The sequence below is a fragment of the Homo sapiens genome, chromosome 13 (genome assembly GCF_000001405.40).
Source record: "Homo sapiens chromosome 13, GRCh38.p14 Primary Assembly".
Lineage (NCBI taxonomy): Eukaryota > Metazoa > Chordata > Mammalia > Primates > Hominidae > Homo > Homo sapiens.
In genome coordinates this window covers 32,330,039-32,347,549 of record NC_000013.11, presented here as the reverse complement: position 1 = coordinate 32,347,549, position 17,511 = coordinate 32,330,039, and the positions used below count along the sequence as shown (strand labels likewise).

Here is a 17,511-nt window from a genome sequence, read left to right as displayed (position 1 = left end):
AGAACAACCTTCTGATTTCCTGGCAGAAGAAGGATAACCGCCTATTTGCAGTGGGGGAGGAAATATAGATGTTTCTTAAAAAGAATTTCAACTAATCTTCCTATTTTCTACTTCACCTTCAGAAGTACCTGTTGCTGCCAATTTGAATCTTTTTCAGGTTTTTTAGGGGAAAGCATCTCTGTTTGCTCTAGTGTCAGGTTTTAGCTTTCTCATGCTTACTAAATCCTTTATGTTTTTGGCTTCCAAACTTTTGTTGTTTCTTCTCATCATTGTCCTTGGGAATTATACATTAAAAAAACTATCTTAGTACTTTTTTAAAGGTTTAGAGAGGAGAGATAAAAGGATATTTTTAATATCTGCAATCTTTTTGTTAACTGATTCGGAGCAATTTCCTTAATTCCTCTCAACCTTAGTACTTCATCCATAAAATTAGAATAAAATCTGTCTACTTTACAAAGCTGTCATAAAATTAAAAAATAAAATAATGATATGAACAGCACTATAAAATACTACCAAAGTATTTTATAAATTTTATAAAACGGGAAGTGTTAACTTCTTAACGTTAGTGTCATTATTTTTAGAAATGTTCATTTATAAAAACGAGACTTTTCTCATACTGTATTAGAATTTAGAAAAATTTAAACATGTCTTACCGAAAGGGTACACAGGTAATCGGCTCTAAAGAAACATGATGCATAAACAATCTTCGATCTTTTATTGTGCCTAGGAAACAATTATTTTATATTACATATTAGTTAAAATCTAAGAGAATATCCATGTTACTGTAAATACACAAAAAATTTGAGACAATTATAGGCTTTACAATTTTCAGTGAATGTAACAGATGCTCAATAAATGTTAACTATGAAAATAAATTGATTCACAAATTGATAATGACTATGCACCAAATAACTCACAGTACAAGCATACAACAGAAATCAGCATAAATTTAGTCAGTTGATGTTAACCATCATAACTCAAAGGTGTTAGCTAATTTCTGATGCAAATACCAAATTTAAAATTTAGTCTTATGAAGGTTTAAAAGCTAAGCTTTAGATATTGTTCATTCTCAGTATGTAACTGGAACCTAATTAAATCTTCAATAAGTCCACTAGTTGGAAATTGGTTAAATAAACTAGGAAACACTGACACAGCCAGATGATCAACTACTATGTAACCACAAAAAAGAATGAGGACGATCTCTATATACTCATTAAGGAGTCATCTCCAAATAATTCTTAAGTAAACAACAACCAATAAACAAGGTGCAAAATGGTGTATATACTGTATCTTTTGAGTAAGAAAGGGTAATGAGTATATACATGTATTTGCTTATTTTTATTAAACAGAATCCTGAAAAAAAAACACTAAAAAAGATTACCTATAGTAAGCAAGAGGTGGGTGAATAAAAACTCTAAGTATACCTTTTTGTAGTTCTGATGAATGAACTATGTAATGTTTTATTTATTCAAATGTAAAATTAAATAAGAAAAGACAAATCCTAAAATTGAAAACAAATGGAAAAAAAGGAATGTAACCTAATTATCAAATTGGTAACCACATCCGGAAGAATTATTTTGAGTGACATTTGAACACAGTATTTTGACTAAACATTCTTAATAATATATGGGTTGAGTATCCCTAATCTGAAAATCCAAAATGGTCACAAACCTGAAACTTTTTGAGTGCCAACATGAGGCCAGTAGAAAATTCCACATCTGACCTCATGTGATGGATCACAATTTAAATTGTCTTATGCAAAAATTATTTAAAATATTGTATAAAATTACATTTAAGTTATATGTATAAGGTGTTTATGAAACTTAAATAAATTTCGTGTTTAGACTTGAGTCCTATCCCCAGATATCTCATTATGTATTGTATATGCAAGCATTTCAAAATCTGAAAAAATCTGAAATCTGAAATAGTCCTGGTCCCAAGCATTTCAGATAGGGATACTCAACCTATATACTCTAAGGACAAAAACTGCAAACAATTCTTACATTTTCCTTAGTAGTTTTATTGTCAGTAGTTAATACTGATATTGTAAATTTAGATTATTATGTATATATTATAGGACAATGATTCTCAAGAAATGATCAGTGGAATCCTGTTAGGTATCTACAACCATTTTAGGGAATCCAAGCTGTCAAAACTGTCTTATTAGTAAAATGTTATGTATGTCCTTTTCACTGTTGATATTTGTACTGTTGGTATATTATGCTTGCATACTTCAGTGCGTTTCTCAAGAAAACACACTTAAATGATTGAGTTGTGAGCTATACTAGCTATTTTTTCATGAAATACCTTTTACTTGAAAGAATAACCAACAAACTATAGTTATTCAGACTTGGGTATTCGGCAGACATCTTTTCAAAAATGAATGAAAATAAGCTTGTCACCTACAAGAAAAATAAGTGACAATACTTATTGCCGGGGAAAAATTCAAGCTTTTAGATGAAAATCAGAATTTTTGGGAAGCTTGTATCTGGCTCTGTAAGCTTGACAGCTTTCTACTACTTAAACTTTTCTGATCGGTAATGGCATCAATGAAAGTGATTGTTTAATACTGCATAATAAAACTGTCAACTTTCGGAAGATCCGCATAACTCAGTGAACTCATATCTTCCAAATGACCAACGCATAATATTACTAATTTTAACATTAATCAATTTACATTTCTAATATGGTAAATATCAATAGATATATTCCACATAAACAAATGCTCTTTTAGGTCCTCAGTAATTTTTAAGAGTATAAAGAGGTCCTTGATTAGGCACAGTGGCTCATGTCTGTAATCCCAGCACTTTGAGAGGCAGGTGGATCACCTGAGGTCAGAATATTATATACCATACCTATAGAGGGAGAACAGATATAAATAAAAAGCTAATTTTACCATCTGGAGTGCTTTTTGAAGCCTTTAAGGATTTTTCTTGATTTTCTATTATCCTGTCAAATTCATTTAATAAGTTTCTTTTGATTGAGGGTTCTCCTAAAAAGAAATATTTCATATATGTTTTTAAGGCAAATAATATCAGTTTTATTTCTCAAAAGTCTATAGACCATTTTTTTAAAGCTAAAGTATTGACTCTTTAAATGTTAAACAAAAATACTTACAACAAATAGTGACCTAATGTTTGAAAGAGTAAAGTCAGTCTTCAATGTCAATTACATTTTTGTTCTGTTTTGACCACTTTAAAACACCACTATTTAACAGGGTCTAAACAGGATAAATCCTAAATAGGATAAACAGATGCTACCAGATACCACAGATAAGCTACTTTTTGAAAAACTGACACTAAATATAACTCTAGGTTTACTGGCAATAAGGCCTAACAAAATTTCTTCAAATAAACTTTTTCTCTCTTTTTTTTTTTTTTTTTCAGCACGGGGGCAGCCATTAACTGAAGGAGTAATTTATTATGTAGGTCCTTGAATTAGAGTTAAGAGGCTTTTTACAATTATCAAATTACATTAAAGTACTAGTAATAGAAACAATTCTTATTTAAAAATTCTACAGAGGCTAAGAGGGTAAGATTAAACCATAATTCAAGGTAGGCATTTCCATGTCATGCTGAGATAATATATAACAGGTACTTTGCTTTTTGATGCTTTATTACAGGGAATAAATTTGTATAATTTAATAAGTAAAAATGTCCATGCAAGGCTTTAGGAGGTGTTAGATTATTATAAAAGTGGTTTAATTGTTTAACAGTGACCTGTACTGTTCCAGTAACCAGAAGCTGACTAAGTTATACACTTATATGTTACAGAAATGAGGGAAATTAAGTAGTAACACCGTTGAAAGCATTTACAAGTCTGAGTTATTGTTTTTTTTTTCCCTAGGTGGAAAGTCAATATACTTCAGTATGCACAAGAACAGAATGGGTTGCTATAAATAAAGCCATTATTTTCCACAAAAGAATTACAAATATCTTTAAGCATATATACCTCAGAATTTCACACTAAAGGACAGCAAATAGTTTAAGTACTATAAACGTACTACTTTGTCCATAAAGTAAATCCTATATTGAATGTGACCTGGACAACACTTGATTAAGTAAATCTGTATCCACCAGAATGACTTAGGGGCAAAAGGCACTTTTTGAATGAGGAGACTAACTTCGGTGTCTCTCTGTAATACATGGGGTCTAGACAGGAAGAGTTCTAATAACTAAAATATTTTTATGAGTTTATAGGTTTTTTAAAAAGGAACTAGTTATTTAAGATTATCCACTGAAATGTTGGAGTTTTGGCATTTGCTTTAATTGCAACTAACAAACAGATTCAATTATTTAAGATTATTACCAGTCAGATACACTAATAGAAAAAAACACACACAAAAAAACAAAACCAAATACATACCTAATATAGGTATGTATAAGGTTAACCTAATGCAGTCATTTGCCACATAATGACATTTTGGTCAACAATAGACCACATATGCAATGGTCATCCTATAAGACTTTAATAGTGGTCCCATAAGATTTTTTTTTTTTTTCAGATGGAGTCTTGCTCTGTCGCCCAGGCAGGAGTGCAGTGGTGCGATCTTGGCTCACTGAAATCTCTGCCTCCAGGGTTCAAGTGATTCTCCTGCTTCAACTTCCCTAGTAGCTGGGATTACAGGCGTGTGCCACCACCATGCCCAGCTAATTTTTATATTTTTAGTAGAGACAAGGTTTTACCATGTTGGCCAGGCTGGTCTCAAACTCCTGACCTCAGGTGATCCGCCTGCCTCAGCCTCCCAAAGTGCTGGGATTACAGGCATGAGCCACTGAGCCCAGCCCCATAAGATTTTAATACCGTATTTTTACTGTACCTTTTCTATGTTCACATACACAAATGCTTGCCACTGTGTTAAAACTGCCTAGAGTATTCAGGACAGTAACATGCTGTATAGGTTTGCAGCCTAGGAGCAATAAGCTATACCATACAGCCTAGGTATATAGTAGGCTATACCACCTAGGTTTGTGTAAGTATACTCTATGATGTTCCCACAATGATGAAATCTAACAATCTATTTCTCAGAACATATATCCCTGTCAAATGACACATGACTGTAGTTGAACTAAGTTGTTAGATATATATACATTTAAAAGGGAAGTTAAAATAGTCCACATAACATTAAGATCAAGATACCATTTACTAACAATACTGTTTTTAGATCACTTCCTAAATGAAAAAAAGGGAGCAAGCCAACACTTACTGAATGCTCTCTGCCTACTATATGTCAAGTTCACTGCTAAGTGCTTTAAATACACTTTTTTTTTTTTTTTTTTGAGACAGTCTCGCTCTGTTGCCCAGGCTGGAGAGCAGTGGTGTGATGTCAGCTCACTGCACCCTCCACCTCCCAGGTTCAGGTGATTCTCCTGCCTCAGCTTCTGGAGTAGTTGGGATTATAGGTGCGCGCCACCACGCTTGGCTAATTTTTTGTATTTTTAGTAAAGATGGGGTTTCACCATGTTGGTCAGGCTGGTCTCAAACTCCTGACCTCAGGTGATCCACCCACCTCGGCCTCCCAAAGTGCTGGGATTACAGGCATGAGCGCCACGCCCAGCCCTCATGGGAGGTGTTATTTGCATTTTATAGATAAGGAAACTGAAGCTATGTAAGTAGTGTAACTAAGTAGTATATATTACCCAGTAAATGGTATAATCGGAAACCAACTTTTTTTTTTTTTTTGAGACGGAGTCTCGCTCTGTCGCCCAGGCTGGAGTGCAGTGGCGGGATCTCGGCTCACTGCAAGCTCCGCCTCCCAGGTTCACGCCATTCTCCTGCCTCAGCCTCCCAAGTAGCTGGGACTACAGGCGCCCGCCACTACGCCCGGCTAATTTTTTGTATTTTTTTAGTAGAGACGGGGTTTCACCGTTTTAGCCGGGATGGTCTCGATCTCCTGACCTCGTGATCCGCCCGCCTCGGCCTCCCGGAAACCAACTTTTAAAGTTCATATAAGTCAGAGTCTGAACTTGCTATGTATATGAAAACAGTTAAGTTAGTATTATGCAGGTTTTGTTAAGAGTTTCAAATTTTCTAGAGAAACTCAAAACTTTTTAACAGTAATTTCTCAATTATTATACTAATAATCTTTTTGAAAATATATTGAGACCCTTAAAACATGATTTCTTGGTATACAGATTCAGAGATATCGAATCTGTATACCAAGATATCAAATCTGTATACGAATACTGAATCTGTGTATCTGTATATCAAACCATACTCCCCCAAACTGACTACACAAAAATGGCTGAAAAGACATAGTTTATAACACTCTTAATTGTTAGCATACCAAGTCTACTGAATAAACACTTTAAAAATAGTGATTGGCAACACGAAAGGTAAAAATGAACACTTACCCACTAAGATAAGGGGCTCTCCTCTTCTTTTTCCAATTCTTGAATTTGACAAAACCATTTCCTCATTTTCGGGACATGTAAAAAGAGAATGTGTGGCATGACTTGGCAGTTTAGAATCTGTCAGTTCATCATCTTCCATAAAAGCTTTAGCAATTTCTACTGCTTCTGTTTCAAAGTAGTTTTCTGAATCTTTGGAGTAAGTAGAACAAACTTCTATATTTGTTTTCACAGGAACATCAGAAAAAGTTTCAGTTTTACCAATTTCCATTTTTACGTTTTTAGGTGAAGCCTGTTCTTTTCCCAAAACATGAATGTTCTCAACAAGTGACACTTTGGTTCCTAATACCAACTGTTGTTTGTCTTGTTGAAATTGAGAGAGATATGGAGAAACTTTAATAGAGTGATTATTTTCTGAAGAACCACCTTCAACATTTAAGTTATTTGATAATTTAAATTCTTTACTGCAGGTTTTTTCCATTTCTGAGTTTACACAGTGCTCTGGGTTTCTCTTATCAACACGAGGAAGTATTTTTGATACATTTTGTCTAGACGTAGGTGAATAGTGAAGACTATGCTCAGTTCTGATTAAATCAAATTCCTCTAACACTCCCTTAACTTTGTGTAAGGAACTTTCTAAAATGGAAACTTGCTTTCCACTTGCTGTACTAAATCCAGAGAAAGCAGATGAATTTACCACATTATATGAAAAGCCTTTTTGGGATATTAAATGTTCTGGAGTACGTATAGCAGTATTTTCTTCTCTTGTGAGCTGGTCTGAATGTTCGTTACTTTTAAACAATACTTTGGAAAAGACTTGCTTGGTACTATCTTCTATTTCAGAAAACACTTGTCTTGCGTTTTGTAATGAAGCATCTGATACCTGGACAGATTTTCCACTTGCTGTGCTAAAAATCCCACAAGTATTTGCAGATGAGACTGACTTATGAAGCTTCCCTATACTACATTTACATATATCTGAAGTTTCCAAACTAACATCACAAGGTGATATTTTAGAAACTTTCTCCAATCCAGACATATTTTGGTTATGTTGTAAAATTTCTTCACTCTGAATGTCAGCAAAAACCTTATGTGAATGCGTGCTACATTCATCATTATCTAGAGAGTTATGAAGAATATCCTCTGAATCATCCAATGCCTCGTAACAACCTGCCATAATTTTCGTTTGGCAAATTTTTGATTTATTCTCGTTGTTTTCCTTAATTACTTTACTGAAACTGTCTGTAAATATGTCTTTCACTTTTTTAATTGTTTCATGTGAAACACAAACGATTTTACCACTGGCTATCCTAAATGCAGGTGGCCCTACCTCAAAATTATTACTATTAGATATGGACAATTTAATGGCTGCATTTTTATTTTTGCAGGGTGAAGAGCTAGTCACAAGTTCCTCAACGCAAATATCTTCATTTACAGTTTGTGGGTATGCATTTGCATCTTTTACATTGGATATTACTTTGGAAAAACTAGTGTTTTTTTGATCTTCAACATTCTTCAATACTGGCTCAATACCAGAATCAAGTTTATTTTTTGAGAGATATCCTGAATCATTATATACCTCATCAGAATGGTAGGAATAGCTGTTAGACATGCTACTGTTACTTAAATAAGTATCTTGTTTTTCGGAGAGATGATTTTTGTCATTTTCAGCTATAGTACTGTTTGAATTATTTTCATACAAATAATTTCCTACATAATCTGCAGTATTTATTCTTTCTGGTTGACCATCAAATATTCCTTCTCTAAGCCATTTTTTTGCTTCAAGTAATGAAGTCTGACTCACAGAAGTTTTTCTACTACAACTTGTGTAAAAAGCTAAGGCTGAATTTTCAATGACTGAATAAGGGGACTGATTTGTGTAACAAGTTGCAGGACTTTTTGCTGTTTCTTTTTCTACATTTTCATGTACTTTAACTTTCAAAAAGATACTTTTTGATGTTTTGAGATTTTCAGTTTGTCTACATAAATTATCACTTAAGAGCTTAGGTGGCACCACAGTCTCAATAGAAACAAGGTTTTTATCATTATTGAGAGAATTCTGCATTTCTTTACACTTTGGGGCAGCTGTGATCTCAATGGTCTCACATGCTAATTCAAGGTCTTTACAGGCCTCTCTGTACTTTAGGGTCTTTGCCCATTGATGGCTAAAACTGGTGATTTCACTAGTACCTTGCTCTTTTTCATCAAAAAGGTTTTTCACTTTGTCCAAAGATTCCTTTGCAATTTTAACTTTTTTCCCGCTAGCTGTATGAAAACCCAATAGAGTAGGTTCTTTGATCTTTTCATCACGTTCGGGTTGTCCCTGGAAGGTCACTAGTTGATTTCCAGTACCAACTGGGACACTTTCTTTCAGTATTTTGTGTTTAACTATGTCTGTTTCCTCATAACTTAGAATGTCCATTTTGTTCTTTCTTATGTCAGAATGTAATTCAGAATTTAAGGAAAAGTTATGCAATTCTTCTGGTTTCTGATCAAAGAAATTTACAATTTTATTAAATGACTCTTTGGCGACACTAATATTTTTCCCACTTGCAGTCTGAAAAAATGTATCAGAAGTCTCAAAATCTTTTATATTTTGCTCCGTTTTAGTAGCAGTTAACTGTTCTTTATTTGAAGTATTACCATGACATGCTTCTTGAGCTTTCGCAACTTCCAAAAAAGTTAAATCTGACAAATCTTCTTTAATCTGAGTGTTTCCCTCCTTCATAAACTGGCCAGATAATTTAAGACATATGTTGTGCTGATCAGTAAATAGCAAGTCCGTTTCATCTTTATGAATACAAACAGTATCATTTTTACTTGAATCACTGCCATCAAATTCTAAGTTATGAGAATTTCTACTGGCAGCAGTATATTTGTTATCTTCATTTTCAGTATTTCTCTTGTAATTTTCAGTAATTTCTTCAACAAAAGTGCCAGTAGTCATTTCAATATTATTTTGTAATATCAGTTGGCATTTATTATTTTTTTCACTTACAGTTTTATCATTATGATTTTCTATCTTAAACATTGAAACAACAGAATCATGACATTTACTTGAAGATAAACTTATTGGATGTACCTCTGCAGAAGTTTCCTCACTAATATTCTCAATATCACTAAACAGTTTCACAGCTTTTTGCAGAGCTTCAGTAGAAACATTCAGTTTTGTGCCATGAGCAGAATAAAAGCCCCTAAACCCCACTTCATTTTCATCTGTTAAATAACCAGAAGCACTTTTGTTACAGTCATTTTTCAACAGGCCAGCAAACTTCCGTTTAATTTCAACTGTACCTTCAAATTGCTTGCTGCTGTCTACCTGACCAATCGATGGGGCATTCATTATGACATGAAGATCAGCATCTCTGCATTCCTCAGAAGTGGTCTTTAAGATAGTCATCTGGTTTTCAGGCACTTCAAATGTACTCTTCTGCAATATGTAGCTTGGTTTTCTAAACTGAGTAAATTCAAACTGACTTCCTGATTCTTCTAATATAGTAGAAAGTTCTGTAATTTCTGCCTTTTGGCTAGGTGTTAAATTATGGTTTGAATTAAAATCCTGCTTGGAAAATAACATCTGAGGGGTTATATGACTATTTTTACAATCAGAAACAACTACACTACTCTGTAAATGTGCAGATACAGTATTAATTGACTGAGGCTTGCTCAGTTTCTTTTGATTATCTAATGCCAAGGTATTTACAATTTCAACACAAGCTAAACTAGTAGGATATTGTTCTTCAATATCTTTGAAGAACATTTTGCTCTTCTTAATGTTATGTTCAGAGAGCTTGATTTCCTTATTTGAAGCTGTTCTGAAGCTACCTCCAAAACTGTGATTTGAAATTGGACCTAAGAGTCCTGCCCATTTGTTCATGTAATCATTATTTTTTTCTGGTATTTTATCTATATTCAAGGAGATGTCCGATTTTAAATCTTGACCTAGAGTCATTTTTATATGCTGCTTTACACTATTTTTGTTCTCCTCTGCAAGAACATAAACCAAATCTTTTTTAATTGACACTTGGGTTGCTTGTTTATCACCTGTGTCTCCATATAAAACCATGGTAGAGTTCTTGAAAATGGGTTCGTTTACACAAGTCAAGTCTGTTTCATGAAGTTCCTTAGTATTTCCTAAAGCAAGATTATTCCTTTCATTAGCTACTTGGAAGACAAAATTATTCTCATTGTCTGAGAAAAGTTCTTCAGAGTCTGGATTGACAGTTATTTTTGAAATTGAAGTAGTTTCTTCTTGATTTTTTTGGATTACTCTTAGATTTGTGTTTTGGTTGAATTGTACCTTTCTTGAAGGTGATGCTACTCTCATGTATTTTTCAGGTGGCAACAGCTCAACGTTTTTATAATTTTCATTTAAAGCACATACATCTTGATTCTTTTCCATGGGAATATTTTTGGTTAATTCAACATCAGATTCATAATTGTTACCTTTGAGCTTGTCTGACATTTTGTATGATTCTTTGCCTCTAGAAATCATGACTAGGTTTGACAGAACATCCTTGGAAGTAGGAGTTAAAATAAGAGTGCTGGCATTTTCATGATCATATAAAAGACTTTTCTGGGATTGAAAGTCAGTATCACTGTATTCCACTTTTGAATGTTGTACTGGGTGACATGCTGCAGCCAAGACCTCTTCTTTTATATCTGAAACTTTTTTGCTTTTTGGATCATTTTCACACTGTCCTTCCTGCAGGCATGACAGAGAATCAGCTTCTGGGGTAATAAATAACTGTAGTTTTTCCTTATTACATTTTGCTTCTTTATAATCAAGATCCTGAGAGATTACTGTATTATTAGAACATGTTTCATTTCTAGAACATTTCCTCAGAATTGTCCCAAAAGAGCTAGTTAAGGACAAAGTTGGTTCTTCAGAATCATTCTGTGAACAGCTTCTTTTCACAGAAGAATGCAATAAACCTAAACATAAAAACACAAAGTGACAAAATTAAAGTACCATCAATCACATTCACTAAATATTTTTCACTAAGTTAAAAAGGTAGTGTTTGGGCACAGTGGCTCATGCCTGTAATCTCAGCACTTTTGGGAGGCTGAGGCAGGAAGACTGCTTGAGCCCAGGAGTTCGAGACTAGCCTGGGCAACATAGTGAGACCATGACTCTATGAAAAATAAAAATTAGCTGGGTGTGGTGGTGTATGCCTGTGGTGCCAGTTACTCAGGAGGGTGAGGTGCAAGGACTGCTTGAGCCCAGGAGGGTGAGGCTACGGTGAGCTGAGATCACACTAGTGCACTCCAGACTAGGTAACAGAATGAGACAGTCTCTAAAAAATAAAAATAAATAAATTAATTAAAAGGTAGTGCTCAAAACACAAATTACATGAAAATAACTGAATGTCAAATTTAAAGCAGAAAGAATCCTAAATATGCTCTATTTTTCAGTTATTACATTTTTTAGCTCAAGATAAATTAGACCTAAGTTGTTTTTTTAATAATAGTTACCAACTCAATCAAAATTAGTATCTAGGTCAAGGAAGTAGCTAGCTACCATAAAAAAAACTCAAAGTAATTTTTATTGGAAAATAAAATTGAAAAAATTTCATTGCTGTTAATACTGGTGTGAACAGAAAAGCAAGGCACAGAAAAGGAATTAGAAAAGTAACAATTTTCTTAATTCTTTCACATTGAAAAAAACAAAACCACAATTTTTAAAAACAGGGTCCATATACTAACAGCCTGAAAGATGATCTAATCTCAACGATAAAGGCAAATGAGTTCAACTGCTCTGTTAAATTTCTTGACCCTCTGAATTTTCTACTAACCAGTTCTTAATTGCATTTCATCAGTGATCACATGTATTAGCTTTTTTTTTTTTTTTTTTTGAGATGGAGTCTCGTTCTGTCACCCAGGCTGGAGTGCAGTGGCGTGATCTCAGCTCATTGCAACCTCCATCTCCCAGGTTCAAGTGATTCTCCTGCCTTAGCGTCCCGAGTAGCTGGGATTACAGGCACATGCCACCACATCTGGATAATTTTTGTTTTTTTTCATAGAGATGGGGTTTTACCATGTTGGCCAGGCTGGTCTTGAACTCTTGACCTTAAGTGATCTGCCTGCCTTGGCCTCCCAAAGTGCTGGGATTATAGGCGTGAGCCACTGCGCCTGGCCTATATTAGCTTTTTCATTGGCTTTAACTATGATATGCATAGTATCAAACATTTTCCTCTAAAAATTTAACCCAAACTTCAAACAGTTCTGTACTGTGGTCTCACCAACTCTACTATTCACTGAGCTATTCACTAAAGTCTTCTCATAGGGAGATAAAATCACTTTGTAAACATACAGTTTAGTTGCTAAGTGAACTGTTGCAACAACAAAGAGGACAGAGTTACACCACGGAGATGCAGAAATAGAGCAGTAACAGTATGCAATCTTTAAAATATTTAAGAAAATTATGTAACAACAGCAGCAATAAATCATTATTTTAGAACTGGCCTACATTAAACTTAGCTAGTATTTCCTCTATTTAAATTTTTTTTTTCTTTTTTTTTTTTCAGGGACAAGGTCTCATTTTGTGGCCCAGGCTGGAGTGCACTGGTACAATTTTGGTTCACTGCAGCCTCAGTCACTTGGGCTCAAGTGATCCTCCTGTCTGAGCATCCTGAGTAGCTACAACATCAGAAGCATGCCACCATGCCTGGGTATTTTAAATTTTTTGTAGAGATGGGGTCTCGCTATGTTGCCCAGGGTGTTCTTAAACTCCTGACCATAAGTGATCCTCCTGCCTTAGCCTCCCAAAGTGCTAAGATTACAGGCATGAGCCACTATATCTAGCCTATTTTTTTAACATGCTTTAGAGAAAATACATAGTAAGTAGCACCACATATTTATATGAGTTGTCCAATTTGCATATAATAAACACTTTTTAAATTAAAGCAGGAATTAGCTAGCCAAGCTCTGAATGTTTATGAGTCAAAAACTGTCTCAAGTTGTTGGCTGGAATGTAAATTAGTTCAACCGTTGTGGAAGACAGTGTGGCAATTCCTCAAAGACCTAGAACCAAAAATACCATCTGACTCAGCAATCCCATTACGGGGTATATACCCAAAGGAAGATAAATCATTGTATTATAAAGATACATCCACCTGTACATTCACTGCAGCACTATTCACAATAGCACAGACATGGAATCAACCCAAATGCCCATCAATGATAGACTGGATAAATAAAATGTGGAACTATACACCATGGAATACCATGTAGCCATAAAAAGGAACAAGATCACGTCCTTTGCAGGGACACAGATGGAGCTGGAAGCCATTATCCTAAGCAAACTAATGCAGGAACAGAAAACTAAACATCACATGTTCTCACTCATAAGTGGGAGCTGAACAATGAGAACACACGGACACAGGGAGGGGAACAACACACACTAGGGTCTGTCAGGAGGTGGGGGTGTGTGGGGGGAAGGAGAGCACCAGGAAAAATAGCTAATGCATGCTGGGCTTAATACTCAGGTGAAGGGTTGACAGGTGCAGCAAACCAACATGGCATACGTTTACTTATGTAACAAACCTGCACATCCTGCACATGTACCCCGGAACTTAAAATAAAACTGTCTCAAGAGTGATGGATATACACAAACTATGCAAACTTATCTACCATGTTTGAGTGACCTGATTCTAAACACTGGTAATTAAAGACCTAAACAATCATGTATACAGATGATGCCTAAGATTAAATATAAGATATGAAGATTTTAAAAAGCAGAAAAAAACACAGAAGGAATCGTCATCTATAAAACTATATGTACTATTTACAAAAAAAAAAAGACAGAGGTACCTGAATCAGCATTTGCAAATGTAAGTGGTGCTTCAAAAGCATTTGCTTCAAACTGGGCTGAACAGTTAATTAGTTCTGATTTTTGGTCTTTCGGTATTTTTTTTCCTTTATAAGATGTTTCATCATGTATAGCATAAATAAACTTATTTGTTTTCTTTTTCAAAGTGGATATTAAACCTGCATTCTTCAAAGCTACAGAATTCTGTGTGGTGGTGGCTGGCCAGCTTCCATTATCAATTAAATTTGGACATAAGGAGTCCTCCTTCTGTGAGCAAACAGTATGTATTTCCAGTCCACTTTCAGAGGCTTCAGTTTCTTTTTTAAAGTTTGGATCAGTCATATGACCTGAAAAACTTGCATTGAAAGTCTCTTTAGGTGATTCTCTTATTCTGAATATAGACTTTTTGATACCCTGAAATGAAGAAGCCACTGGAGAAGTTCCAGATATTGCCTGCTTTACTGCAAGAATGCAGTCTGTATGAGATTCAAGATGCTGCTCTTCATCTCTCTTATTTACCACTGTTTCCTCATTTAATGGCTTCTCTGATTTTGGTAGGCTAGAAATACGTGGCAAAGAATTCTCTGAAGTAAGAAAATCTTTCTTTCTTTTGTTCTCTGTGTCTAATAGGTCTTTTTCTGAAATATTTTGGTCACATGAAGAAATATGCAATAGGGGTATTTTCTCCATCTGGGCTCCATTTAGACCTGAAAGGGTTAGTTGAGACCATTCACAGGCCAAAGACGGTACAACTTCCTTGGAGATTTTGTCACTTCCACTCTCAAAGGGCTTCTGATTTGCTACATTTGAATCTAATGGATCAGTATCATTTGGTTCCACTTCAGATACAAATGAGTATTTTTCTTTCACTTGGTTTTTAGATTTTTCACATTCATCAGCGTTTGCTTCATGGAAAATTTTTTTCCTAGTCTTGCTAGTTCTTACTTTTTGTAGATTTTTTGTTCTACATTTAGAAAAACATAATGAAAAACTATCTTCTTCAGAGGTATCTACAACTGTTTCATATACTTCATCTTCTAGGACATTTGGCATTGACTTTCCAATGTGGTCTTTGCAGCTATTTACTTTAAATGAATTCCCTGATGTTTTTCCAAATCCTGTTAAAGTATAAAACAGAAGCACATTAATATTTTATAAGCCATATAATTTATATTATTCTCACAACCTTTCTCATAGAAACAGTTTATGTAGAATGTGCTAAATATTACATATCAGTATTTAAAGGGTTATTCTGAGTACTTGGCATTTTATTTTTCGGTCAGTCACCCCTTCTCCTGTTCTTCTAGTAAAGCCTGATTCCCCTGATTCCAATGAACCTAAAGCCTTTTATTCATACAACAATCCCTAAAAACCTTTCTTTAGCAGTTCTACACAATTAAAACTCACCTAATCTTACTATATATACAATTAAATATTCTAAGACCTATCAAAACAGATGTTCCAAATCAATTCTGTGGCCCTATAACAAGGGTAAATCTGATTTTACATATGCATATACATACGTACATGATACCACACAGACAAAAACAGATATCAAATCCTACACAGTTATACAGACATACACACATACTAAGAAAAATGCAATATTCCATGACCTGATTAGGTAAACTATGGTATATCTAAACCACATTTACTTTCTAATTAGAAAAAAAAAAAGCTCAGATTTTGTTAATTATATATCTTATTGTCTCTGAAAATTTTCAATAGGCTTTGTTTTTGTGTCACAACCACATATTAAATAGTACTGTCTTACACAGTATTTAAATACTGTCATCGAAATCAAATTAGTTTCTCTTTTTTTCCATTGAGACACGGTCTCACTCTGTTGCCCAGGTGGGAGTGCAGTGGCACACACACAGCTCACTGCAACCTTGACCGCCTGGGCTTAAGCGATCCTCCCACCTCAGCCTCCTGAGTAGCTGGGATCACAGGCACACCAAGTTAGTTTCTACTCTCAATACTTTGAGATAAAATACTACTTCAGTAGTCAAGAAAGGAAAGGTAATATATTTTCTCTTTAAGAAAAGAGGAGCAATCCTTCAATGGTGCCAATTAAAAAGAGTAGTTCAGGCTGGGCATGGTGGCTCACGACCATTTGAGACCAGCCTGGCCAACATGGTGAAATGCCATCTCTACTAAAAATACAATAGTTGGGCATGGTGGTGCATGCTTGTAATCTCAGCTACTTGGCAAGCTGAGGCAGGATCGCTTGAGCACGGGAGGCAGAGGTTGCGGTAAACCGAGATCACGGGTGACAGAGCAAGACTCCACCTCAAAAAAAAAAAATCAAAACAACAACAACAAAAAAACCTGTAGTTCAACTAAACAGAGGACTTACCATGACTTGCAGCTTCTCTTTGATTTGTGTTTTCACTGTCTGTCACAGAAGCGATAAATCTATCATTTTTCTTCAGACTTTCATCATGATTGGAAAAATAGCTTTTCACATTCTGCAAAAATTATAGTTTAAAATCACTAGTATAAAAACTCTCAATGCACATATAGTAGTAGTCCCCCCTTATCCATGGTTTCACTTTTGGTGATTTCAGTTATCTGCAATCAACCTAGGTCCAAAAATTTTTAATGGAAAATTCCAGAAGTAAGCAATTAGTAAGTTTTAAATTGTGTGTCATCCTGAGTAGTGTGATGAAATCTTGCACCACTAGGATGTGGAAATCTTAGGAAAGGAAAATGGAAATGGAGAAAAAAAAACTTGCACCATCTTGCTCCATCCCACTTGGGACATGAATCATCCCTTTGTCCAGCGTATCCAGGCTGTATATGGTACCCACCTATTAGTCACTTAGTAGTTGTCTTGGTTATCAGATCGGCTATTGTGGTACCACAGTGCTTGTGTTCAAGTCACCCTTATTTTACTTAACAATGGCCCCAAAGCACAAGTATAATGATGCTGGCAATTCAAATATGCCAAAAAGAAGCCATAAAGTGCTTCCTTTAATTGAAACAGTGAAAGTTCTCGACTTAAGGAAAGGAAAAAAATTGTACTGCGACATCTATGGTAAGAACAAATCTATCTGTGAGATTGTGAAGGAGAAAGACATATGAGCTGGTTTTGCTGTCACACCTCAAACTGCAAATGTTGTGGCCACACAGTGCACCATAGAAGTAGAAAAGGTATTACATTTGTGGGTAGAAAACATGAACAGGTTGTTTTGATTGACAGCTACATATTACGCCAGAAAGCATAGAGCCTAAACGAAAACTTCAGTAAGGGATCCCCTGAAATGAATGACACCAAGCCATTTACTGCAAGTAAGGGATGGTTGGTTACACAGATTCAAGAATAGGTTTGGACTGAAAAATATAAAA

The 17,511-nt window shown here is 34.9% G+C and overlaps 1 protein-coding gene across 7 annotated transcripts in view; it reads right to left on the bottom strand.

The window, feature by feature from the left end:
• Positions 1 to 17,511, bottom strand: part of BRCA2 (BRCA2 DNA repair associated) — an 85,192-nt gene that overhangs the window by 52,719 nt on the left and 14,962 nt on the right. For 4 of the 7 annotated variants that reach the window (NR_176251.1, NM_001432077.1, NM_000059.4 and 1 more), the window contains exons 9-13: positions 16,520 to 16,631; positions 14,163 to 15,278; positions 6,354 to 11,285; positions 2,897 to 2,992; positions 654 to 723 (exon numbers count right to left, since the gene is read on the bottom strand). Coding sequence is in view for 6 of the 7 variants with exons in the window: in NM_001432077.1 (NP_001419006.1) it covers positions 654 to 723; positions 2,897 to 2,992; positions 6,354 to 11,285; positions 14,163 to 15,278; positions 16,520 to 16,631 (6,326 nt within the window). In the remaining variant the exon portion in view is untranslated. The remainder of the gene's footprint in view (positions 1 to 653; positions 724 to 2,896; positions 2,993 to 6,353; positions 11,286 to 14,162; positions 15,279 to 16,519; positions 16,632 to 17,511) is intronic. The other 3 variants (NM_001406719.1, NM_001406721.1, NM_001406722.1) reach the window with 3 other exon arrangements.